General features: G+C 51.1%; 1 protein-coding gene and 2 long non-coding RNA genes across 14 annotated transcripts in view, besides 7 other annotated features; 1 reads left to right on the forward strand and 2 right to left on the reverse strand.

Annotated features, from left to right (window-relative positions):
* Positions 1–24,852, reverse strand: part of PRKAR1B (protein kinase cAMP-dependent type I regulatory subunit beta) — a 179,738-nt gene that overhangs the window by 53,488 nt on the left and 101,398 nt on the right. For 10 of the 11 annotated variants that reach the window (XM_047420607.1, NM_001164759.1, XM_047420608.1 and 7 more), the window contains 2 exons: positions 4,707–4,768; positions 3,509–3,555 (listed from right to left, as the gene is read on the reverse strand). In XM_047420607.1, coding sequence (XP_047276563.1) covers positions 3,509–3,555; positions 4,707–4,768 — 109 coding nt within the window. Of the gene's footprint in view, positions 1–3,508; positions 3,556–4,706; positions 4,769–15,156; positions 15,290–24,852 lie in introns of those variants that run through there. The other variant, XM_047420610.1, reaches the window with a different exon arrangement.
* On the forward strand, positions 161–5,818 carry PRKAR1B-AS1 (PRKAR1B antisense RNA 1). Of its 2 annotated transcripts, none has more exons than NR_110054.1 (2): positions 161–613; positions 5,181–5,818. It is a non-coding gene; the product is annotated as a PRKAR1B antisense RNA 1 (long non-coding RNA). The 2 variants fall into 2 exon arrangements; NR_110055.1 differs by lacking the exon at positions 161–613 and adding an exon at positions 714–932.
* Positions 854–903: an enhancer, noted in NCBI's record as "active region_25471". NCBI's record gives its function as "activates an Ori minimal core promoter by ATAC-STARR-seq in GM12878 lymphoblastoid cells {active_cell/tissue: GM12878}" and the evidence as "EXISTENCE:reporter gene assay evidence [ECO:0000049][PMID:35858748]".
* Positions 964–1,649: an enhancer, noted in NCBI's record as "H3K4me1 hESC enhancer chr7:643285-643970 (GRCh37/hg19 assembly coordinates)". NCBI's record gives its function as "activates a minimal SCP1, AML or CMV promoter by ChIP-STARR-seq in naive H9 embryonic stem cells {active_cell/tissue: H9 hESC(naive)}" and the evidence as "EXISTENCE:reporter gene assay evidence [ECO:0000049][PMID:30033119]".
* Positions 964–1,693: a biological region, named in NCBI's record as "H3K4me1 hESC enhancer GRCh37_chr7:643285-643970".
* Positions 1,584–1,693: an enhancer, noted in NCBI's record as "active region_25472". NCBI's record gives its function as "activates an Ori minimal core promoter by ATAC-STARR-seq in GM12878 lymphoblastoid cells {active_cell/tissue: GM12878}" and the evidence as "EXISTENCE:reporter gene assay evidence [ECO:0000049][PMID:35858748]".
* Positions 1,964–2,323: an enhancer, noted in NCBI's record as "active region_25473". NCBI's record gives its function as "activates an Ori minimal core promoter by ATAC-STARR-seq in GM12878 lymphoblastoid cells {active_cell/tissue: GM12878}" and the evidence as "EXISTENCE:reporter gene assay evidence [ECO:0000049][PMID:35858748]".
* LOC105375119 (uncharacterized) lies at positions 10,277–11,890 on the reverse strand. Its single transcript, XR_007060176.1, has 2 exons — positions 11,155–11,890; positions 10,277–10,887 (listed from the first exon to the last, which is right to left on the reverse strand). It is a non-coding gene; the product is annotated as an uncharacterized LOC105375119 (long non-coding RNA).
* Positions 10,761–11,261: an enhancer, noted in NCBI's record as "H3K4me1 hESC enhancer chr7:653082-653582 (GRCh37/hg19 assembly coordinates)". NCBI's record gives its function as "activates a minimal SCP1, AML or CMV promoter by ChIP-STARR-seq in naive and primed H9 embryonic stem cells {active_cell/tissue: H9 hESC(naive and primed)}" and the evidence as "EXISTENCE:reporter gene assay evidence [ECO:0000049][PMID:30033119]".
* Positions 11,262–11,762: an enhancer, noted in NCBI's record as "H3K4me1 hESC enhancer chr7:653583-654083 (GRCh37/hg19 assembly coordinates)". NCBI's record gives its function as "activates a minimal SCP1, AML or CMV promoter by ChIP-STARR-seq in naive and primed H9 embryonic stem cells {active_cell/tissue: H9 hESC(naive and primed)}" and the evidence as "EXISTENCE:reporter gene assay evidence [ECO:0000049][PMID:30033119]".

The following is a 24,852-nucleotide window of genomic DNA, read 5'->3' on the forward strand; positions in this document are numbered from 1 at the left end:
CTCTTGCGGTGCGTGTGTTGGGGACATGAGACGGGGCGGGGCAGCTGCCAGGCGGCCAATGGCTTCCACACCAGGGGCCAAGAGCAGAACCCCAGGAGGGTTATCTCAGTCTTCCCGGCAGCAGTGAGCTCTGTTCGTTTTTCTGAGTAATATGGAAATGGCACGGCTCAGCCACACAAGGGCCTGGGCAAAGGTCACGGCCAGCAAAGAACACAGCCTGGGTCCTCTGAGTCCCGAGTCCACGCGATCCTGACCCGTCCACCACCCTCCTCGAGACACGACAAGTTAGGCGGGAACATAACCTGGGAGCCCCATGTCGGTTTCAGGCTCCACAAGGGATCTCTGGGTAAAGGGTTTGTCTCTTCCACATCTGTTCATTTAGGAGAAGCAAAGAACATGGAAAGCAGAATTCCTGGGGGTGGCCTCAACCCCAAGCCCTGCCGATGCAAACCGGCACCTTGAAGATGCCTTTGGAATTTAACTGGAAGATTTGAATGACATGGGCAGACACAGAAGAGGGAGAAGCATTCCACAGGGGAGGAAAGGCCTCAGTGGGGACCTATGGAGCTCCCAGGCCCACCGCAGGGAGGCAGGTCCTCGGTCATCTGCGGAGGTCAGTATCTATCAAAGCCCAGCCGCAGATAGATGAGCTGGGCCTGGCGGGGTCTTGTAGGATGTGTAGGAGTTTGTGAGGCAGAGCAGGAATGAAAGCAGAGGGGACAGGAGGGGCAGAACCAGAGTCAGGACATTCATTGGCTAATTTCCTGTTCTTGGTCCCTCTCCCCCATTAAGCCACAACCTCCCCCACACCAGAGCAGGCACCAGGTCCTCCTCGTCACAAGTGCCAGGCATAAAGCAGGCACTCAATAAACATCCAGGAAGGAGACGGCAGGGGAGGAGGCGACATGATGACTCCAGGACCCAGAGTGGAGGTGATGGGGGAGGAGGTGACACCAGGACCCAGAGTGGAGAGGGCAGGGGAGGAGGTGACACGGTGACACCAGGACCCAGAGTGGAGGGGATGGGGGAGGAGGTGACACCAGGATCCAGAGTGGAGAGGGTGGGGGAGGAGGTGACACCAGGACCCAGAGTGGAGGGGATGGGGGAGGAGGTGACACCAGGACCCAGAGTGGAGAGGGCGGGGGAGGAGGTGACATGGTGACACCAGGACCCAGAATGGACAGGGCGGGGGAGGAGGTGACACGGTGACACCAGGACCCAGAGTGTGAACTAGAAGAGGGGCTATAAGTAGTAGCATGAGATTTGGGGCTGGGATAAAGCGGTGGGTCCAGTCAGGAAGCTGCCCATCCCATACCTCCCGCAGAGGTGGCTCTGCCTTCAGCACTGCTGACCACTGGGCAGGCCTGGGCTGCCAGGGTCTCTCTGGGATCAGCCCTGCCCCATCTGCTGGGGGCTGAGCCCCATTCCCTGCAGCCCCCCATCAGGCCCTGGTGTCTGGATACCAGGCACAACGGGGCCACCTCCTGGGACGGGCCCAGGCCCCAAGACGATGCCCGGCTGGGATGCTGGCCGCATCCTCCTCTGTCTTCTCTATTTCCTGGGCTAGGCTTTTTTTAAACTCGAAGCAAAGCCAGCAGGAGATGACTCTGCGGCCTGGCAGCTGAGCCCAGGGTTGACCCGCCAGTGCCGCCCTCCAGCCTTCCCCCTCCACACTTCCTCTGAGGCCGGGCAGTACCCGGGACCTTTGGCACCTGCCTCAGTTTCCATCTCTAGGGGAGACAGGAGCACCCCCACTCCCTGACACAAAGGTCTGCCCCAGAGGCCCTGTCTAGGGGCCCAGCCCGTGGGTTCCGGCTCAGGACAGAGCACACCAGGGAGAAGAGAAACTGGCTCTTTCTCCGCCTGCGCGGGCCAGGCCCGAGGCACGTGCCCCCCACGGGGAGGCGGGACCCCTGAGTCATTTCCTGTGCTATCAGCTCCGGAAGCAGAGTGGGCCTGCTCAGGTTCCCAGAAACACAGCGCGATGGGGGACAGACTCCGCGGCTGCCACGGAAACAAATGAGTAAATGCCCTCCCCAGAATAGCGTGGCCGGGACAGAGGCACAGCCACCGGAGGCCAGACCTCGAAATAGCTCGTGCTGGGCAGCCGGGGGTGGCGTTGCCTGCACGGAAGAGTGCGGAGGCCACCTCCTGGGGCAGGTGGACAAGGAGAAGGGCAGGCGGACAAGGAGAAGGGCAGGCAGGCATCCCAGACCCAGAGAAGACTCAGCCAGCCTGGGAAGCAGTGACCGTCTCGGGTAGCAGAATCCCCAAAGCGTCCTGCACTGTGGGGGCTTCCAGTCTGTGTGCAGAAAGGCCGTAAAGAGACGGTCTCATGAGATGTCATCACCACGAGCCGCAGAGGGTCCTACGAGGGAGGCGTGGGACATGTCTGCTGATGCCCACTGGGAAGTGACATTTAGCAGAGAGCAGAAGGAGAAGCAGGAGCTAACGGGGTTCCCGGCAGAGCAGGGGACACACACCAAGGCCCTGGGGCCGCCAGTGCAGGCGGATTCCAGGAACCGAGGGAGGATGATGTCACTGAGGTCCTTCCCGCTGACTCCGCAGGGGCTCGGGCCTGATTCAAAGGGAAACAAACTCCTAGCGGGCGTTTTCCCAGAGGCTGCACCATCAGCTCCGCACCAGCAAGGTCAGGCTGCCGTGCGGGGGGCGGCCTGCAGAACAGGAGCCCAGCGGGGGATGAGGGGGCCTCAAAGCCTTCACACCAGAGCACCCAGGCTCTAAACCGGACGGCAGAAGAGATGGGAGCCAGAGGCTCTGGGCAAGACTGGGCTGCGGGGCCAGGGGTGATGTCATGTGCCGTGTGTATGTGTTTATTTACTTAGTTTTATACATATATGTATCTATTTTATACATACACATACACATGGCCTGGCCATCGGGCACGAGACGGGGTCTCCAGCGGAGGGGAAGCTTCTCCTTCCAAAACAGTGGGAGCATCTCATAAAAGATGCTCTTGAGACAAGCGTGGGAAGATGACACAGTGAGACCCGACTCACGGCTGGGACGTTCCAAGCTGGGAGCCAAACGCAGGCGCAAAAGGCAGCCGTTGTTTGATCGTGAAGTCGTCGGTCCTAGGGGGTCTCTAAGCACGTCGCTCTCCCACCCACTTTGAGATGTTAACATCCCATGTGGTGGGTGAGCCTGGTGTATTCATCGGCCTCGGATCTGGAGACGGCGCTGGGTCAAACAGAACCGCCCTGGCCAGCCCCAGCAGTCGCAGCCCGGGGGCAAGCGGAAGACAGCGGCCCTGGAAAACCTGAGGCCGCTGCCGGCACCTGCCAGCATCACCCTTGTTTCCCTCTGCACTTTCTCATATTCCCATATTCTCTTCCAAGAGATAGCAGTTGCATTTCTGGATTAAAACACTAGGAATACGGCACTCAGCGCAGTGTTTGTTGGGGGCCTGGTGCTGCCTGGAGGGCAAGTCTTCACACCGGACATGCAAAGACGCGCTATTTTCCAAAGACAAGTTAGCGACACTCACATCCACTTCCCCTTGATCAACGACATAGAAGTTGTCTCCTTCATTCCCTGTAACAAAAGAAGAAAGTCAACAGATACAAAGTACATCCAGACATACAAGTTACAGTTTCTCTTGCAAACGACTTTCGCAACACTGTTGCAGAGACCCTCGAAGCAACATCCTGGGTGCTACCAATTCTTTTTAATGACAAGATTATACAAACATTGAGATAACTTGTTAAAGAGCCTGTTCTTAAGTTTCATTAGTGAACTTTCTCTAAACAATGAGAGGTGTTTTTCTTTTTGTTTGTTTTTTGTTTTTTTTGAGACGGAGTCAGGCTCTCGGCTCACTGCAACCTCCACCTCCCAGGTTCAAGCGATTCTCCTGCCTCAGCCTCTGGAGTACCTGGGATTACAGGCACCTGCCACCACGCCCAGCTAATTTTTTTGTAGTTTTAGTAGAGATGGAGTTTCACCATGTTGGCCAGGCTGGTTTCAAACTCCTGACCTCAGGTGATCCACCCGCCTCGGCCTCCCAAAGTGCTGGGATTACAGGCGTGAGCCACCGCGCCCGGCCTCACAATGAGAATTTTATGCGTGTGTGTGTGTGTGTGTGTGTGTGTGTATAATTTTATATTACTTTAGTTTTATACATATGTATATATTTTATATTTACTTAGTTTTATACATATATGTATCTATTTTATACACACACATATGTATATATGTGTACATATATGTATACATGTACACACATATGTGTGCACATATACGTGCATATATATGTAGACATATATGCATATTATATGTGTGTATGTATGTACAAGTCTATATATATCCTTTTGAAATTTGAGACAGAGTCTTACTGTATCACCTAGGCTAGAGTGCAATGGCGTGATCTCAGCCCACTGCAACCTCCGCCTCCCAGGTTCAAGCGATTCTCCTGCCTCAGCCTCTGGAGCAGCTGGGATTACAGGCACCCGCCACCACACCCAGCTAATTTTTATTTTTAGTAGAGACAGGGTTTCACCATGCTGGTCACCTGGACCACCAGGCTGGTCTCGAACCCCTGACCTCAGGTGATCTGCCCACCTCAGCCTCCCAAAGTGCTGGGATTACAGGCGTGGGCCATCGTGCCTGCCCTTATGCTATTTTTTTTTTAAGTGCATAGTCCATTTTTCCCCTCTGGACTTTGGCTCCGAGGAGCAGGCAGAACGTACCTTGCTGTATAACAGTCTCCCCAGCGATGTGAGTGACAGGGAACATGGCATCGAATATGTCACTGAAAAGCAAAACACGCCAAATTAGGGCTGCAGGCAGCACAGGGACATTTAAACCCTTCCTCCCCTCATTTCACAGTCTTGTGTAAATCGCTTCACAGTCATTGGGGAAAATGAGAAAATCCATGAGAGTTCAAAGAAGAAAATTGAAATCCTTCATGACCCGAAGGCCAGAGATGGCACCGCCAGCCCTGGGCACACAACCTCCCAGCCCCATTTCTGTTCTGTGCACAGACGCAGTTTGCTGTTTTGGTTTTTACAAAAATGGGGTCATGCCATACATGCATTTTGAACTCCATTTAGAAAAACAAAAGTAACAATAGATTGTGAACATTCTCCCATCGGTAAATACAATTCTACTAGAATACAACCAGCAATCTTGATGACATGTTTTCTGCATTGTTTTCCTTTCAGGGAGAACACTTTCAGTCGAAGGAGCCTGGGACCCTTGACACAGAAGTGACATGTGCATTCGGAACCTCTCTGTGGAAAACACAGACCCTTCATGACACGCAAACTCGAAGCCGGTGAGGCCGAGTCTCAGGGCTGCGCCAACCAGGAAGCCTGGCTGTCCAATGTTCCAAATCTGGATGTGAAATGGACCATGCAGACAGGACCCAAGGGGCATGGGGGAGCTGGCAGAGGCACCCGGGACAAGTGGGGAAGCACCTGTCGGCCAGGAAGGTAGAGAGGCACCTACCCCAGAACACGGTGCCAGCGTCACACTCTTATTAACAGATGCAATAACCACCTTCGGAGACCAGACCCCTCAAAGAGCACTCAGCCCACAATGTGACGCAGAGAAACCAGAGACCCAGGCAGGGAGTGCACCCACGGGGACACTCCGAGGGTGGCCTCCTGCCTGCCCTGATTACTTAAAAAGGAGATTCTTGGAAACCTTTGCGGGCCCACAGGTGCACCCTGACTCCCAGGGATGGGGGCTGAGCCACCCAGGAAACAAATATGAAATCAAAGATCCAGACAGCCCTGACCCTCCTGATTCCAGGGTCCATAAATAAGTCATTCTTAAAATAGTGGTTGTTTTCTCTCTATTTAAGAAGTGCTTCTTTTTTGAGTCCTTGTTCCCAACTTCCCTGGCAACTCAGTTTCCTGTTTCCTCCGGGAGGAAGGCAGAACTGCAGGAGAGGTCAGTGTGTGGCAGGGCTGTAGGGAGGGCTGGGGGGCCTCCACTGTCCTCCCACCTGGGGAGGGATCAGTGTGTGGCAGGGTTGTAGGGAGGGCTGGGGGGCCTCCACCGTCCTCCCACCTGGGGAGGGGTCAGTGTGTGGCAGGGCTGTAGGGAAGGCTGGGGGGCCTCCACTGTCCTCCCACCTGGGGAGGGGTCAGTGTGTGGCAGGGCTGTAGGGAGGGCCGGGGGGCCTCCACTGTCCTCCCACCTGGGGAGGGGTCAGTGTGTGGCAGGGCTGTAGGGAAGGCCGGGGGGCCTCCACTGTCCTCCCACCTGGGGAGGGGTCAGTGTGTGGCAGGGCTGTAGGGAGGGCCGGGGGGCCTCCACTGTCCTCCCACCTGGGGAGGGGTCAGTGTGTGGCAGGGCTGTAGGGAGGGCCGGGGGGCCTCCACTGTCCTCCCACCTGGGGAGGGGTCAGTGGGTGGCAGGGCTGTAGGGAGAGCTGGGGGCCCTCCACTCTCCGCCCATGGGTGGTGGGGCTTGGCCATGCTGCCCCAGCCCCAGTCCCGGGCACCTGGCCCCGGTGGGGACATTTCCTGGCCACGGCCTCCCTGGTGCACGCATCTGCAGGAGCCGCCCTGGCACCGTTCTCTAAACTGCATTTCTTCAAAACCACAAAGTATGGGTTCTCAGAATGAACAGACCTTTAAGAAATCATTTTACAATTCCTCCCTCTTTTTTAAAAAAATATTTCAACTTATAATGGTAAAATATTCCATTAAATGCCTTAAGTAATCAAATGGACACTGTGTACCCCCCACCACCCAGCTCAGGACCCTGCTGCCTCCACCACTCTCTCCTGGAAAACTGTCCAGCATCACAGCTGCGGCTCCAGCCTCCTCCGGGCCCAGGTGTGGAGGGCAAGTGCTGCCTCCACCACCCTTGCTATGCGTCTCCACTTCACACATGGGCATCCGTGACCACACGTGTGCACCCGTGAAAAGCGTGCATTTCCAGTGGTGTCTGCATCATTTGCATATCACTGACAGAAAGATACCCTTTCACAATTCTATTCTCCCTCCTGACCCATATTTTCTGAAATGCACCTGGGTGAAAACATAAATCTGGAAGCTTCTTTGCTCCTTTTACAGCTGCCTAGTATTCTTTTTTTTCTTTTAAGAGATGGGGTCTCATTTTGTTGCCCAGGCTGGAGTATAGGGGTGCGATCACAGCTCACCGCAGCCTCCAACTCCTGGGTTTAAGGTGTCCTCTCACCTGAGCCTCCCAAGTAGCTGGGACTACAGGCACGTGCCACCACGCCTGCTTATTTTTATTTTTTATTTTTTAATTGATGGGTCTCGCTATGTTGCCCAGGCTGGTCTCCAACTCCTGACCTCAAGCAATCCTCCTACCTTGGCCTCCCAAAGTGCTGGGATTACAGGCATGAGCCGCTGCACCCGCCCTGCCTGGCATTCTCTATATGAAAACCCTCGCTCCTTCACCTGTTCCTGCCCAGATGGACGTTTCCAGTGCTTCTGGTTCCTGCCATCACACGCTGGGCCACGATGGACATGACAGAACTCCCCATGAACAGGGGGCAGGTCAATGTGGCTGCACCCCAGTGACTCGAGGCTCACGTTCCACTCACGTGCTTCTACCACAGCCTAAGCAAAGGCAGGGGTGGGCTGAAACCCTTCCTGGGAGGTTTCAGTCTCCAGAGGGGGCTGTTCAGTCCTTGGTATCAATGAAAGCCGACTTTCCACACACCCAGGTGCCTGGGCGTGGCCCCGCTCAGAGCAGCCCCTCCTGGAGTGCCTCTTAAATGAGCCTCACTGGGTTGCTCCGTTGGCCACACAGGTGTCCCTCATCTCCCCAGGGACGGAGGAACACAGTCCCCAACTCTCTGTGATCAGCAGAGCCCAGAGAGCCCAGCCTCGTGTACCAAAAAGGTCTGGGAGCCCCATTTTTCTTCAGAGGAAATGTTAATGCCCGAATGTCACCAGCTCATCGCCGACAAAGGCCTGAACACAAACGTCTCCAGGCAACAGCCCCGAGGTGAGGTCAGCTCTGTCCATGTCCCCCCCGCACGGCTTCACCCTCTTTTTCCACTGTCTGCCCCTTTCACACAAAACCCCCATGGCTTCCTCTTTCTCTCAGCACTTAATGGCATTAAAAGGCCCTGGCCTCTTCTGTCTGTAAAAAACAGTTTTCTCTTCTCATCCAGCAGTCACTCTGGAAGGTTACGTGAAGCTGCTGGCTCAGATTTTAAATCGTCTCACATGTGGGTTGCCCCACCTACCCCATCAACAAACACAGCTTCGCACTTCTGCATCAGAGGCTGTGCTGGGTTCTGGGGACACGGAAGGCCCCCAGCTCTCAGGCCTGGTAAGAGAAAGAAAAACACGAAGACATTCCAGCCGGCCCTTCCTGCGGGGGCCGAGGGCAGAGCCCCTGGTCTGTCTCTTGCTCCATCCTCACCCGCCCCTATGAGGTCAGCACTGCTGTTCCGTCCAGTTTCCAGATAAGGAAACAAGACACAAAGTAACTTCACCCAAGGTCAAGAAGCCAGGAAGAGGTGAAGTCAGGCTGAAGCCCCTATCATGAACGCTCCTCCACGGTCTGGCTTCCCTATAGGGGCAGAGCCCTCCTCCGAGCAGAGCATGTGCCTCCCTCTCGTCCACCCCTCCCTCTCTCTGTCTCTCTCTCCATCTGTGCCCTGGACTGGTCTCTAAGCTGGGGATTGAGGGCCTGAGCGTCTGGGACGGCCACCCCCAGCTCTCTCTGGGCAGGCGTCCAGTAAGGAGCCCCTGCTATTTGGGTCAGGGCTGGCCAGTGGTGCTGGGTCAGGACAGTTTCCAGGAAACGGCCTGTCCCGGGTTCCAGTCCTACCTGGCCTGTGGCTCAGAGATCACAAACCTTTTGAAAGCCCCCGCCCACACCACTCCCGATCCTGATGCCTCCCCCTCCTGCAACACCTCAGTTCCTGTGCTTCTCACTCCACGGATGGCTTCCGCCTCCCACAGCTGACTGAGCTCTCAGATGGAGACCACATGTTCCTTGCAGGCTCTAGTGCCCAGCCCGGGTCTGACGCAGAAGCTCCTCAGCACAATATGGATGGTTGGATGGGTGGGTGGATGAACGGATGAGTGAATGGACACATGGATGTACAGGTGGGTGAGTAGACGAATGAATGGATGGATGGATGGATGGATGGATGGACAGGCGGGTGGATTGAACAGGTGGGTGAGCGGATGGATGGATGGACAAATGGGTGAGTAGATGAATCGATGGATGGATGGACAGGTGGGTGGATGAACAGGTGGGTGAGTAGATCAACGGATGGATGGATGGATGGACAGGTGGGTGGATGAACAGGTGGGTGAGTAGATCAACGGATGGATGGATGGATGGATGGACAGATGGATGGACGGACAGGTGGGTGGATGAATAGGTGGGTGAGTAGAATAACGGATGGATGGATGGATGGATGGATGGACGGACAGGTGGGTGGATGAACAGGTGTGTGAGTAGATTTGAGTAGATTAATGGATGGATGGATGGATGTAAGGATGGATGATGGATGGATGGACAGGTGGGTGGATGTACAGGTGGGTGAGTAGATCAACGGATGGATGGATGGATAGATGGACAGGTGGGTGGATGAACAGGTGGGTGAGTAGATCAACGGATGGATGGATGGATAGATGGATGGACGGACAGGTGGGTGGATGAACAGGTGTGTGAGTAGATTTGAGTAGATTAATGGATGGATGGATGGACAGGTGGGTGGATGTACAAGTGGGTGGGTGGATGGATAGATGGATGGATGGACAGGTGGGTGGATGAACAGGTGTGTGAGTAGATTTGAGTAGATTAGTGGATGGATGGATGGATGGATGTAAGGATGGATGATAGATGGATGGATGGACAGCTGGGTGGATGAACAAGTGGGTGGGTGGATGGATAGATGGATGGATGGACAGGTGGATGGACCGACAGATGATGGATGGGTGGCTATTAGAGGAGAGGAAGGAAGGGAAAAGTGAATGAAAAAACGGATGCCTGGAAGGATGAATGGAAGGATGGCACTGCCTCTTTAAGGGCATTGCAACAAATATCAAAAGCTGCTGGAGTGGCCACCCTTGGGACCCTCAGTTCCACATTTAGGAACTTGAAGAAACAACGGGATGACTATGAAAAGATGTAAAAATATTGTAATAATATTCACCGAAGCACTGCCAGCAACAGAGGCTTTATTAAATAAACGACACTGAAAAGATGTGTGTGTGTAATAATATTCACCGAAGCACTGTCAGCAACAGAGGCTTTATTAAATAAACGACAATGAAAAGATGTGTGTGTGTAATAATATTCACCGAAGCACTGTCAGCAATACAGGCTTTATTAAATAAATCACAGTCCTTCTCAACAACCTAACACCGTGTGGTCATTAAAAATGGTGGTGTAGATACATGTAACAAGGAATAAAGGTGTTCACAGTGTTGCCAGTGAAAATAGGGTGTCGATGAAACTGTACAATTTAAAAACACAACCATAAAGTAAATAACCTAGAGGCTATGCACCGTAAGGCTAATAGCAACTGTGGGGTGGAGAGGGGGTGGGGTTGGGGTCATTTTCATGTGTTTTTTTCTTTTTCTTTTGTTTTTTTTTTTTTGATTACTTGTACTGACGTGTATTTTCTAATTTTCTATAATTACATTGTAAATCTGTGTAATTTTAAAAATGAGGCCGTTCATCATTGGAGAAAACACGACACGTACGCTTAAGGGCAGACTTAAGGCTCTTAACATTTTTAAAGCAACCAAAAGAGGCAAAATGTAGACTTTAAAACACAAAAATGTGCTTTTCTGAGTGTGGCACAGACTCCAAGCCCACAACGTCTGAGGAAGCGTACGGGATCAGAACCAGCAGCTCCGTTCACAGCCAAACTCGCCTTCAAAAGGCAAGGAGATGGCGCGCCAAGCTCAGCCCCTGAAATCACACACGCGGGGTTGAACGTGAGTAACTCAGCCCATCGTTCCGCACTGTGAATCTGCTCCAATACCTGCAGAGACAGGTCCAGCTCCCACTACGAGGGCCCACCGACCAACACGGTACACCGAGGGTGAAAAAGCCACGACCAGGCCCACCTGGAAAACACCATCAGCTCCTAGAAATGCCACTTCCTTCCTCCTCCCGCCGCTCCGGGCCTCCCGAGCCAAGACAAGCGCAGGTTGGGACTTGCACGGGAAAGCTCACCTGAGAATGTTTCCAGAAACCCCTCCCCAGCCTGCAGAGACCTCTCCCGGCCCCAGGACAGGGAAGCCTGCGGAGCCAAGAGGGTGCAGTGCTGGGAGGTCCCCGCAGGGGCAAGCAGGGCTGCCACCAAGCGGGTGGGAGACACCCAAGGACTCGTCCACCACCCAGGGAACCGGACTGTGAGGTTCAGGTCAGCATGGAGGGCGGGAGGCGTGGCGCCCACAGAGGGGAGGGGAGCCAGGCCCAGATGACAGACGCCTGCAGACTCCACGCCCCGCACGCCCGACCAGGACAGGCCAACGCAGGGCTGGGCACTTCTTCGGACTCACAGGAAGCCTCTGTCCATAGTCTGGCTACATCTGCCCAACCTCAGCCACTCAGGACTGTCTACACAAAACACTCAGCAGCATATACGACAGGATGCGCAGAATGACAGATTCAACCTGCCTCATCAGCTCCAAGATGGTGGAACACGGCTAAGACCCAGGTCTTCTGACAAAAGGCTGGGTTGAATGCCTTTCACCTGAGAGAACGCCCCGTTTACATCCCCTCCTCTGAACTTCACCGCCACAGGCCCCATTACTGCCCCACTTCACAGACAAGGAAGCTGAGGCTTAGGAAGCTGACATGGGCCAGATGTGGTGGGTGGCTCATGCCTGTCATCCCAGCACTTTGGGAGACCGGGCACCATAAGGAGGTGAAAGGATCGCTGGGCCCAGGAGTTTGAGACCAGCTTGGGCAGCATAACAAGACCCCATTTCTATAAAAAGTAAAAAAATTGGCTGGGCGTGGCCAGGCACAGTGGCTCACGGCCTATAATCCCAGCACTTTGGGAGGCCGAAGCAGGCAGATCACCTGAGGTCAGGAGTTCGAGACCAGCCTGACCAACATGGTGAAACCCTGTCTCTACTGAAAATACAAAAATTAGTGAGGTGTAGTGGCACACACCTGTAATCCCAGCTACTTGGGAGGCTGAGGCAGGAGAATTGCTTGAACCTGGGAGGCGGAGGTTACCATGAGCTGAGATCGCACCACTGCACTCCAACCTGGGTGACAGAGCAAGACTTTGTCTCAAAAAAGGTAAAAAATTCAGCTGGGCATGGTAGCATGCACCTGTGGTCCCAGCTACTCGGGAGGCTGAGGCAGGAGGATTGCTTGAGCCCAGGAGGTTGAGGCTGCAGGGAGCTGAGATTGTGCCACTGCACTCCAGCCTGGGTGACAGAGCAAGACCCTGTCTCTAAAAACAGAAAGAAGGAGAGAGAGAGAGGCAGAAAGAAAGAGTGAGACAAAGAAAGAGAGAAAGAAGGCCAGGTGCAGTGGCTCACACTTGTAATCCCAGCACTTTGGAAGCCCAAGGCAGGCGGATCACAAGGTCGGAAGATCGAGACCATCCTGGCTAACATGGTGAAACCCCGTCTCTACTAAAAATACAAAAAATTGGCTGGGCATGGTGATGGGCGCCTGTAATCCCAGCTACCCGGGAGGCTGAGGCAGGAGGATTGCTGGAACCCGGGAAGCGGAGCTTGCAGTGAGCGGAGATCGCGCCACTGCACGCCAGCCTGGGAGACAGAGCGAGACTCCGTCTCAAAAAGATAAATAAATAAAAATAAAAAATAAAAAAGACAGAAAGAAGGAAAGAAAGAAGAGAAAAGAAAGGAAAGGAAAGGAAAAAAGGAAGAAAGGAAAGAAAGAGAGAGAGAAAGAAGGAAAGAAAGAAGGCCGGGTGCGGTGGCTCATGCCTGTAATCCCAGCACTTTGGGAGGCCGAGGTGGGCGGATCACGAGGTCAGGAGATCGAGACCATTATGAAACCCCATCTCTACTAAAAATACAAAAAAAAATTAGCCGGGCGTGGTGGCAGGCGCCTGTAGTCCCAGCTACTCGGGAGGCTGAGGCAGGAGAATGGCATGAACCCGGGAGGCAGAGCTTGCAGTGAGCCGAGATCGCGCCACTGCACTCCAGCCTGGGCTACAGAGCAAGACTCCATCAAAAAAAAAAAAAAAAAGAAAGCAAGAAAGGAAGGAAGAAAGGGAGGGAGGGAAAGGGAGAGAGAAAGAGAAAAAAGGAAGAGAGAAAGAGAGAAAAAAAGGAAGAAAGAGGCAGAGAAAGAAAGAAAAATAAAAAAAGAAACAGAAAGAGAGAAAGAGGGAGAGAGAAAGAAAAAGGAAGAAAGAGAGAGAGAGAGAGAGAAAGCAGCTGAGGCTGAGGCTGAGCCCAGGCAGGGGCTGTGCTCTCACCACTGCCGAGACCCTCCCAGGCCCAGCCCTGCCCGCGGGTGCACACGCAGAACACACTGGGTGGGTCTCAGCCCCTCTTGGCTGCAGGTACAGGCCCTGTCTGGTGTAGTGGGTCCTCGCCCCAGGTCCTGGCCCCCTGTGCTGGAGGCAGCCCCCTGGCTCTCACTGACAAAACGAGGTCACTCCGGACAGACTCGCAGGGCCTGGAGAGGTCAGAGATCTCCATCAACCACAGACCACCGCAGATGGGGGACCTTCCTTCCCCCTCCACCTGCCCAGAGTCACGCTTCCACCTCTGGCCAAACGCAGCCACCACCTGTGCCCACCAGGCCTGCCTGGCTCACTTTGTCCTCACTGATCCGGGGGACCAGGGGACCAGCTGGGAAACAGTGATGGAGCCCAGGGTCTCTCCGGAGCTGCGTCCTGCCAGCCGGCGGGGCTCATCCAAGCTAGGCAGGCCTGGCTTCCTCAGGCTGTGGTCCCAGAAGCACGCTCCACCCAGTTCTGCTGTGGCAGCCATCGCACAGCGGCTCCTCACCGGCCACCAGACCCCAGTGCCACGCACCGCTTTGGCTGAGGGTCCGTCGGCCTCCCTCCCTGCTGACGGCTACAACTTCACAGCCCAGCCTTTTCCCTCCACACCCAGCTCTAAGGTGTGGTTCCCAGTCATGCCCGCGGCATCGATGTTTTCAAAGACACATTCAGGACAAGATCTGACCCTTGAAGCCAAAAGCCATCCATGAATCCCAACCTCATGTATTTTTGGGAAAAAAAGTACAAATGGGGTGAAGCGCCTCGGGCCCTTTATTCTCCATCCAATCAAAACAGCCAAGTGCTCATCCCGGGTAATTTAAACAACAAGGAAAGTTTGGGGTTTTCTTGTTTATTTTAAAATCTAAACCCCAACACCCAAGTGCTTTTTTTTTTTTTTTTTTTTGAGACAGAGTCTCGCCCTGTCGACCAGGCTGGAGTATAATGGCACGATCCCAGCTCACTGCAACCTCCACCTCCCAGGTTCAAGCAATTCTCCTGCCTCAGCCTCCCGAGTAGCTGGGATTACAAGCACACACTGCCATGCCCAGCTAATTTTTGTGTTTTCAGTAGAGACAGGGGTTTCACCATGTTGGCCAGGCTGGTCTCGAACTCCTGACCTCATGATCCACCTGCCTTGGCCTCCCAAAGTGCTGGGATTACAGGTGTGAGGCACCACGCAGGACCAAGTGCCTTTTTTTTTTTTTTTTTTTTAAAGAGACCGAGTCTCACTCTGCCACCCAGGCTGGAGTGCAGTGGTAGCATCACAGCTCACTTCAGCCTTGACCTTCTGAGCTCAAGCGATCCTCCTGCCTTAGCCTCCCAAGCAGATGGGACCACCAGCCCGAACCACCACCCCCAACTAACGAAGTGCCATTTTAAAAGCAAGCTAATTTTTGGTGTGCAAATGCATGTGTTGGGCACAACCTATTGCTTAGTCACTTGCTCAGACCCACACTAACATCAGGCCAGCTGGTCAAGTCCCACCCAGCCCTGTAGGTTAAGAACAGTCACACTGGGTGATGGGTCCTTGTCACCGACTGTCACCCTGGTCCATTCCAGATACTCTCCCGGCCCCAGCTTTCCATCTGTTTCCCCCGTCCTGGCAGGAGGCAGAGCCTGGGCCTGTGAACCCAAGGGGTGGCAGCAGGCACTAGGCCCCTCCCGGAGCAGAGCCCAGGACGTGGCAGGTCGGACGGAAAGCAAACCCCTCCTGGGCCCCGCGTAGCACTCACCCAGCTGGAACTCGCAGCCTCTATCCGGGCAAAGGGCTGTATGGGAAAGCCTAGACACCCCGCCCCTGCACAGACACCTCCAGTTTCTCTTAAAACACAGACTCTTGAGCTGTGTTCACTTTCCCCAAGCCTGGAGGCCTCCAGGGAAGCAGAGGCCCCACCCACTTTCCCCCACCCTCCGCCTGGGACCCCCTCACCGCCCCCACCAAACCCAGGACCAGTGCAGGCTCCTCCCCACCAGTGGTAAGTGCCGGAGTGAGGGTGGGAGAGGTGGAGGCAGGGCAAGGTCCAGGAACACAGCCCGCACACCCATATCCCTGCACTCAGCTCACAGGCAGCCACAGCACTCAGACTGGGTCCTGCTGGGGCCACAGGGCAGCAAACCCCGCCGTTCCCGACAGGCCCACAGACCATGCATTTGGCAACACCTGTGTTTCGTGGGACATCCTATTCCAACATCTTTTCTTTAAACCCCAGATGTAAATATGGAGCACTCAGTTCATGCCGCTCTGTGATCTGTTCTTGTTTTGCCTATACATTTATTCCTCTCTTCCCATAGCCCTCTCGGTCTGTGGGCAATTGCTATAAGATACTTGAGGTCTCCCCTCTCGTTTGTATGTTTTCTCTTAAAACATAGAATCTTAAGCTATGTGCATTTAACCAAAAAATGGTATCCTGCTGCAGATTTCATGCTGTTTCTTCTTTTTCTTCAAGGAGTCCACATACTCTAGATCTACCCACGTCACCACATTGCCTGACACGTTGGGGCTGCGGCTTTGAACTGCCGTTTTGTTTGCATTTCCATTTCCCTGATCTCTAAGCTCTGAGCTGCTCTTCAAGGGCTTCTCCTCTGGTTGTGTTTCCTCTTCTGTAAACTTCCTGTTCATATCCTGTGCCCATCTTGATAGAAGGGTTGGTACCTTCTTTCCTGCTGATTTGCAGAAATTCCTTGTGTGTTTTAGATACCGGTTGCTTGTCGGGTTTAGATATTGCAACTATCTTCTTACACGCAGTCACCTGTTAACTTTTTCATGATGTCCTTAATTAGGTAGACATCTTTCATCTGATGTAACCTCTTTTTTGCTTTATGGTTTGTGCTTTGTGGGTTTTGTTTAAGAAAGTGTTTCCCCACAACCAAGTAATGAAATACTCTCCGACATGTCTGCCTGGGCTGCCATCACAGAGCACCACAGACTGGCAGCAAGACCCTGTCTTGAAAAAAGTGAGGTCCTACTGGAGTAGGGTTGGCCCTAACTCAATATGATTGGTGTCCTTATAAAAAGAGGAGACTTGGACACACACAGGGAAAACACAGTGTCCACGCAGAGCGAAGAGTCGGACGAAAGCACAGCAGGGAGGCAACACGGCACCTACAAGCCAAGGAGAGGCCAGGCCAGATCCCCACACACAGCCCTCAGGGGGAACCAGCCCTGCCCACATCTTGAGCTTGGACTTCTGGCCTCCAGAAGCATGAGACGCTTGATCACTGTTGTTAAGGCCAAGTTTGTCCTTCTGTTATGGCAGCCCTAGAAACTAACACAGTGTTTTACGCACAGTTGCTCATTTAATTCTCACAACAACCTTGTGGCATATATGATCATCACTCCCCTTATCCTCACATACAAGTGGGAGCAGGACAGAAGCACAGAGAGGTTAAGGAACCTGCCCAAGGTCACACAGCTAAGGAATGGTGGTGCTGGGATTCAAAACCGGGTGATCTGGCTCCAGAGTCCTTGTCTTAACCACTGCACTAAACTACCTCTTGCATCTATTAAATATGGAGCTCCCATGTGTGCCTGCACCTCCTCTCAGCTCTCGGCCCCACGCCATTGTTCTGCCGTCCCTTCCTGCAGGGCACCTGGCTCCATTTATGATCAAGGCCTCCTGCTGAGCCTCAGCTCTTGGTAGGAGAAGTCCCTCTTCTTTGTGCTTCTGTTTCAAAGATGACTTAGTTATTTGCAAATTTTTATTCTTTCCTTTCCTTTTTCTTTCTGTTGTTTTGTTTTTTGTTTTGTTGTTTGTTTTTTAGAGACAAGGTCTCACTCTGTCACCCAGGCTAGAGTGCAGTGGTGCGATCATAGCTCACTGTAGCCTCGAACTCCTGGGCTCAAGTGATCCTCCTGCCTCAGCCTCCTGAGTAGCTGGGCCTACAGGCACATGCCATCATACCCAGCTACTTTTTTTTTTTTTTTTTTTAGAGATGGGGTTTCTCTGTGTTGCCCAGGCTGGTCTCAAACTCCTGGGCTCAAACAATCCTCCCACCTCAGCCTCCCAAAGTGCTGGGATTACAGGCATAAGCCACCGCACCCAGCTCATTCACATTTCCGAATGTGTTTACTGCCTCACAATATTCCAGCTGCAATTTGAAGTGGAGCTGCTTTGAAGGTAGAGATTAATGTGAGGGAGAAATGACATCATCACGTTGAGTCATTCCACCCAAGAATACAGACCGCCTCTCCCTATTCAGATCGTGTTTTATGTCCTTATAGAGGTTTAAAACTTCCTCCCTAGAGTCTTCTGTAATCTGTTGTCAAGCACATTCCACTTCTCAGTGGCTGTTGCCCTCATGAATGGCATCCTTTCAAATTCTATTCTCCAGTTACTCCTCATCTGTGTCTCTTTTCTCATTCCCTGCACCCACCCAGCCCCTTGGGCTCTTTTTTTTCTCTCTTTCTTTCTGTTGAGACAGATTTAATATCTTCATTGTGATGGGAAGGAATCCGTATTTTTAAATTTTCTTTAAATTGACAAAGAAAAATTGTGTATATTTATTTATGGATTCCTTGGGCTTCTTAATGATGATTTTTGTAAGTTGAGCTTGCACCAACCCTGCTGAACACTCATAAGAATGTAAGAGTTGTTCTGTGTATTCTATGCTGGTTTCCATAGACATGATCAAATTCATCTTCTCTCTACCCTTCCAATTAGGACTCCTCTTATTTTTCTTTCTTTATAGCATTGCCGGGACCTCCCAAGCACAGTTAAACCATGAAAGCCATCAGAGCCTCATTGTGGTCCCTCCCTTAAAGAGCATGTAGCCAAAGATTCTCCATTAGCATGTTTGCTCTGTGTTGGGTATGTATGACCTTTACCAAGTTAAGAAGTGACCCTATTCTTAGTTTGCTAAGAATTTATGCAATAGTTGTTGAGCTTTGTCAAAACCTTTTCCAACACCTATGTGACATGTCACATGCTCTTTCTCTACAATCTACTAATATGGTGATTTACATGGATAGAGTATTCTGAGGTTGAACCATCCTTGAATTCTGGATCATCTCCACCTGATCACAGTACAGTACATACAATGATCTAGCAGCTTCCTCTTGTTTTCTATTTTCTGTAGCAATTTGAGAAGTAAGAATAGACAGTTTGCTGATGTTTGAAAGAACTCAACCAGTGAAACCATCAGAAAGAACCCTTTGGGAGGAAAGGTCTTTGGTTACCATTTCAACTTACTTAATGCTTCTAGATCTCTTCAGGTTTTCTATTTATTCATGTGCCAATGTTGATGGTATTTTCAAAATCATCTCCCAATATTTAAAAATTTACAAAATTCATAAAATCCAAATTGTTGGCTTTCCTTTGAAAAAAGAAAATAAAAAGAAAAGTCTGACAACACAGGGACCTTGTACTCCCAAAGCAAGAATTCAGCTCACCCCCACTTTGGAAGGAGCATGACCATCTCCAATCTGCCACAATTCCCAAGGACTCCACGTTTTCCACTTAATTCCTGAACCCCCAGGATCCCGAGTTTGCAACCCTTCCCTAAGGGGCTCACTATTGAGCAGTGGTGACAGATGCTTGTGTGGGGTGATGTCACAGCAGGTGGGGTCATCCCCATGACAGATGCTTCCTGGCCATCACCTCATCATGTGTGGTACAAGTCCCAACCTTGCCTGGAGGGACCCAGGGGACTGAGTTTCTGAAGAGTTAAGCCATCTGTAAAATGGGCACAGTAACACTCTCAGCCTCTAAAGCAGCAGGGAGGACTCAGTGATCATGAGGCTTGTGAAGCACTCAGCAGAATAAGGGGCTCCCACGGTCAGCAGCTGCTGCCATAGTGTCTGCTGGTTCCAAACCCCATGCAGCCGCTCCCCCAGTGCTGCTAGAAGGGTCACACATGTCCCAGAATCCCCCAGGAGTGATGCAAATGGAGCGGCCCATGCCCCGATCTCAGCCAGTCTCTTCACCACTCTGGCTTTTTTATTCCTTTTTGTTGGCTTACATTGCTAATATATTGTGGAACTGCAGCCAGAGGTGGCCTGACAGGTAAACACCTCCCCGCCCTCACCCATGCAAAGAAACCTGCTGAAGCAAACAGGTTCAGCCAGTTCTCAGAGCCGAGGCCACCTAAGGGGGACAACAGAAAGGATGGGCACCCACAGCCCCTCAAAGCTGCACCTCAGACCCGAGCACCAGGTGCCTGCCAAGGCTGGGCATGCATTCAGAAGAGCAGCGAGGTGAGGGGTGGCAGCAAGGACCCCCGCGCCACACAGGGCCTCCCGCTCACTCCTCCCGCTCCAACAATCTGCATTTCTGTATGTTAGAAATGTCTGCCTGAGGCTAAAAGAAATAAAGAATTTTTGTGACTTTTAAACAAAAGCATCATGACATTGACCTGGGAGAACATGAATGTGCTAGGATCGTATCCAGTAATAAAGAAGGCAAACTGAGTTATTAGCACTTCCAACATGTCTGATCTTTAGTTTTTTTCAACTCTCTATTTTGAAAATCTTTGAACCTTCCTAGGGATGGAAGGGGGATGTCAGAGTCAGGACACGGGTTGTTATTCCCCCTCCCATGATGTCAAAGAGCAGAACACACAGAGGCACATATGCACCAACAGTAGGTCTGCAGAGAATGTGCATATGTGTATTGACAAGGAGCAGACGGGAATGATGAGTGAAGAAAACAGAACATTTACCAAAAAGGACCCCGCTGAAGGCAGAACACTTGTTCCAGCGCATACTAATATGTTTTTCTGACTTCTTATGTTTTTCAACATGACGCTATCCAGGGGGAAAGAGTGGCCTGCTCAGTCTGTCCTCCTTTAGAAGTGGTTCTGAAAGACCTAGACATGCTGCCCTCGCTGGGGAAGAACCTCTCTCCATTGCGGATTTAAACCTTAGGTCAATGTTATTTAAGGAAAGGAAGTGGCCTAAACCCTTGGGCAGACCCTGGGTGCTGGCATCACGGTCCTATCTCTTCTGTCCCAGCCCAAGACCCAGGGTTCCCATCTGCTGGGATCCCAGCGCCCCAGACACAGCATCCTGGCTTGTGTTTAGCCTCTTCCACTGTTTAGGTGAAGGCTTGTTCCGTGACTCTGTTGACTACAAGTTTCCAAAAAATTCTCTCTAAATAGCAATAACTCAGTCCTGGCATCATGGAAAGCAGAGCTCCTGCTCCCGGCTGGGGTGCCAACAGCACGGTGTTCTCAAATCCCCTGGGACCCTCGGCCACACTCTTGACTGTGGGTCTGGTTCCTAACCACAAACATGTGGTAACAACAATTCTCTCTCTGGCCAAACTTTAGTCAGGTTCCAGAACCTTCTTCTAGGCCCATCTGTACTTCCTTGTAAAATAATCCTGCCAAATCAGTTCAGCCAGAACCGATCACCCACCATAATCAATATGTGATCATCTTTGATATCTGATCATCCTCAGTGTCTGATCAGGCTCCTCACACCCACCACCCCATGGGGGATGTCTGGTCACCCTGGCCTCTCTTCAGCAACAATCCTGTTAGGTCAGTGAAGCCAGAACCCCCCAGCCCCTGGTGTTTCCTCTCGGTCATTTTCCATCCACTGCCACTTAGGTGGAAATTCTCACGTTCTCATCTCATATTCGGAGGCAAGCCCAAGCTCCTTCCTCCACCGCAAGACCCCATTGCAGTGATCCCTGTACCTAGTGCAATGGTCCAGAATGAAGTCTTCCATGCCATGCTTTAACACACGTCACTGAATAACGTTTTCTTGGCATTGGAGAGAGAAGCGCGTGAATGGCCAGGGTTCAGGGTATGGAATGAACCTATGGAGTCCCAGAAGGGAGGTACAAGCCAAGTGTCCGCTCTACCCTGTGGATCTAGGGAAGGAGGTGGAGGATGGCAAATTCCTTCTGTACATTCTTGGGCTTCCAACCAGAATTGCTAGTCCATGCCACTGGCCATGGCGTCCAGCCCTGGATGTTCACAGTATCCCCAGATACCCACGCCAGCCCTGAGCTTCTGAATCAGAATCCACTTTGGATGAAGACCAGCACCCGCAGGTTTAGGTTGGTGACAGCAAACTTTTATCTTAAAAATATGCATGCTGACCAAGCATGGTGGCTCACACCTGTAATCTCAGCACTTTGGGAGGCTGAGGCAGGCGGATCACCTGAGGTCAGGAGTTCGAGACCAGCCTGGCCAACATGGGGAAACCCCATCTCTACTAAAAATACAAACATTAGCCAGGCTTGGTGACATGTGCCTGTAATCCCAGCTATTCAGGAGACTGAGGCAGGAGAATCGCTTGAATCCAGAAGGTGGGGGTTGCATTGAGTGAGATCGTGCCACTGCACTCCAGCCTGGGCAACAGAGCAAGACTCCATCTCAAAAAGAAAAAAAAAAAGTGCATGCTCTTTGAATGGGTTTTTCTTTCCCCTAGCATTTCCTCTATAGAAGCAATTTTTAAAATATATAAGATGTGGCTAGCAGGCTGTTTATCACAGAGCTGCTTGTAGCCATGAAGGTTTGAAATATGCAATAGTTGGTGATTGGTTAATTAAGTTACAGAATGGAACACAAGGAGGTATTAAAAAACAGTGATGTGGAGACACATCCACGGAGACTGGATGATGGTCACTATAGGCCTATTAAATTTAAAAATGGGTCATAAGGCAAAATCTGATCAAACTGCAAGGAGAAACAGACAAATGCACCATTATAGTTTAAGACTTTAACGCCCCTCAGCTAGTTATTGACAGATCCAGCAGGCAGAAAATCAGTAATCTAGTTTGAAAAATTATACACAGGAAATAAAAAAAGAGAATCAGTAAGAACATAGATTAACTGAATGGCACCATCAGTTAACAGGAAATAATTGACATTTACAGACTTCATCAAACAAGAGCAGACTACACATTCTTCTCAAGCTCACATGAAACATTTACCAAGAGAGAAAACATTCTGGGCCATAAAATATCCCTGAACAAATGTAAAAGAACAGAAATCATATAGTGCATGCTCTCACACCGGAAGTGAATTAAACTAGAAGTCAGTAACAGAAAGATAGATAGGAAATCCCACAATATTTGGAGATTAAATAACATACTTCTAAATAATGCATGGGTCAAAAAAGAAGGCTCAAGAGAAGTTGAAAAATATTTTGAACGAAATGAAAATGAAAATAGAGCTTATCATAATATGCAGGAGGTAGCAAAAGCAACACTTAGAGGGAAATCTATAGCACTGAATGCATATATTAGGAAAAGATCCAAAATCAACAACCTAAGCTTCCATCTTGGGAAACTACAACAAGAAGAGGAAATTAAATCCAAAGCAACAAAAAGAAAAGTAAGAATAAAAATTAAGACAGAAATAAATGGAATTGAAAATAGGAAAATACTAAAGAAAATCGATGCAGCCAAAGCATCTCTAACTTCAGAAATGAAAGAAGGGACATCACTACAGGTCCCATGGACAAGAGACATCACTACAGGTCCCATGGACAAGGGGCATAACTACAGGTCCTATGGACAAGGGGCACCGCTACAGGTCCTATGGACAAGGGGCATCACTACAGGTCCCATGGACAAGGGGCATCACTACAGGTCCTATGGACAAGGGACACCACTACAGGTCCTATGGACATTAAAAATAAAATAATATTATGAAAAACTCTATGAGACCAGGCACGGTGGCTCATGCCTGTAATCCCAGCATTTTGGGAGGCCGAGGCAGGAGATCACCTGAGGTCAGGAGTTCGAGCCCAACCTGGCCAAGATGGTGAAACCCCATCTCTAGTAAAAAATACACAAAATTAGCTGGGCATGGTGGCAGGCACCTGTAATCCCAGCTACTGGGGAGGCTGAGGCAGAAGAATCACTTGAACCCAGGAGGCAGAGGTTGCAGTGAGCCGAGATCGCGCCATTGCACTCCAGCCTGGGTGACAAGAGCAAAACTCCATCTCAAAAAAAAAAAAAAAAAAAGAAAGAAAGAAAAACTCTATGACTACACATTTGATAACTCAGATAAAATGGGCCAGTTCCTTGAAATACACAATCTACTAAAATTCACACAAGAAGCAACAGATAATCTGAACAAGCTTGTATCTATTAAAGAAGTTGAATCAGTAATTATTAACCTTTCAAAACAAAAAGCGTCAAGCCCAGGCTGGGCACAGCAGCTCACACCTGTAATCCCAGCACTTTTAGAGGCTGAGGCAGGAAGATCACTTGAGGCCAGGCATTTGAGAGCAACCTGGGCAACATAGCAATACCTCATCTCTACTAAAAATTTTAAAAAAATTAATCAGGCCTGGTGGTGCACACCTGTAGTCCCAACTACTTGGAAGGATGAGGCCAGAGAATCACTTGAGTCCAGGAGCTGGCAATTGCAGTGAGCTATGATTGTTCCACTGCACTCCAGCCTGGATGACAGAGACAGACCTTGTCTCTCAGAAACAAAAAACAAAAATAAAAACAAAAAAGGACTAAGCACAGATGTGTTCACTAGTTAATTCTACCAAATATTTAGGAAGAAATAATACCAATTCTCTACATTAGCTTCAGAAAATAGAAGCAGATGAAACACTTCCTAAATAATTCTATGAGGACAGCTTTAACACGAAAACAAATTAATCTGATCTTGGAGGAAAAAAAAAAGGAAAGATAAAGTGAACTTTTTTTTTTTTAGAGACAGGGTCTCTGTCACCTAAGCTGGATTCCAGTGGCATGATCATAGCTCACTGCAGCCTTGACCTCCTGGACACGAGCGGTCCTCCCGCCTCAGCCTCTCAAGTAGCTGGGACTACAGGTACAGCACCATGCTCAGCTAATTTTTATTTATTTATTTATTAAGATGGAGTCTCACTCTATCACCCAGGCTGTGCAGTGGCGTGATCTCGGCTCACTGCAAGCTCCGCCTCCCGGGTTCAAGCGATTCTCTTGCCTCAGCCTCCCGAATAGCTGGGACTACAGGCACCCGCCACCACGCCCAACTACTTTTTGTATTTTTAGTAGAGACAGGGTTTCACCATGTTGGCCAGGATGGTCTCAATCTCTTGACCTCGTGATCCGCCCACCTCGGCCTCCCAAAGTGCAGGGATTACAGGCATTTTTATTTATTTATTTGTAGAGATGGGGTCTCGTCGCATTGCCCAGGCTGGTCTCAAACTCCTGGGCTCAAGCAACCATCCCGCCTCAGCCTCTCAAAGTGCTGGGATTCCAGGCATGAGCCACAGGGCCTGGCCCCAAAAGATAACATTTTAATCAGCACTGGCGGAGGGTAGCGGTGGGGGCCGAGGGATCCAGGGTTCCCTAAGAGCTCACAGGGTCCTTCTGAGGACTTCACTCTCACCTGGAACTTTTACAACACCCATTTTACAGACGGGACACTGAGGCCGAGACTAACTCATGACTCCCCCACGCCTGAGGGTTTGCAAAGGGCAGAGCCAGGTGCGGACCCAGGCGGTCGGACAGCCACGGCCAACGCCACCC

The sequence above is a fragment of the Homo sapiens genome, chromosome 7 (genome assembly GCF_000001405.40).
Source record: "Homo sapiens chromosome 7, GRCh38.p14 Primary Assembly".
Classification (NCBI taxonomy): Eukaryota; Metazoa; Chordata; class Mammalia; order Primates; family Hominidae; genus Homo; species Homo sapiens.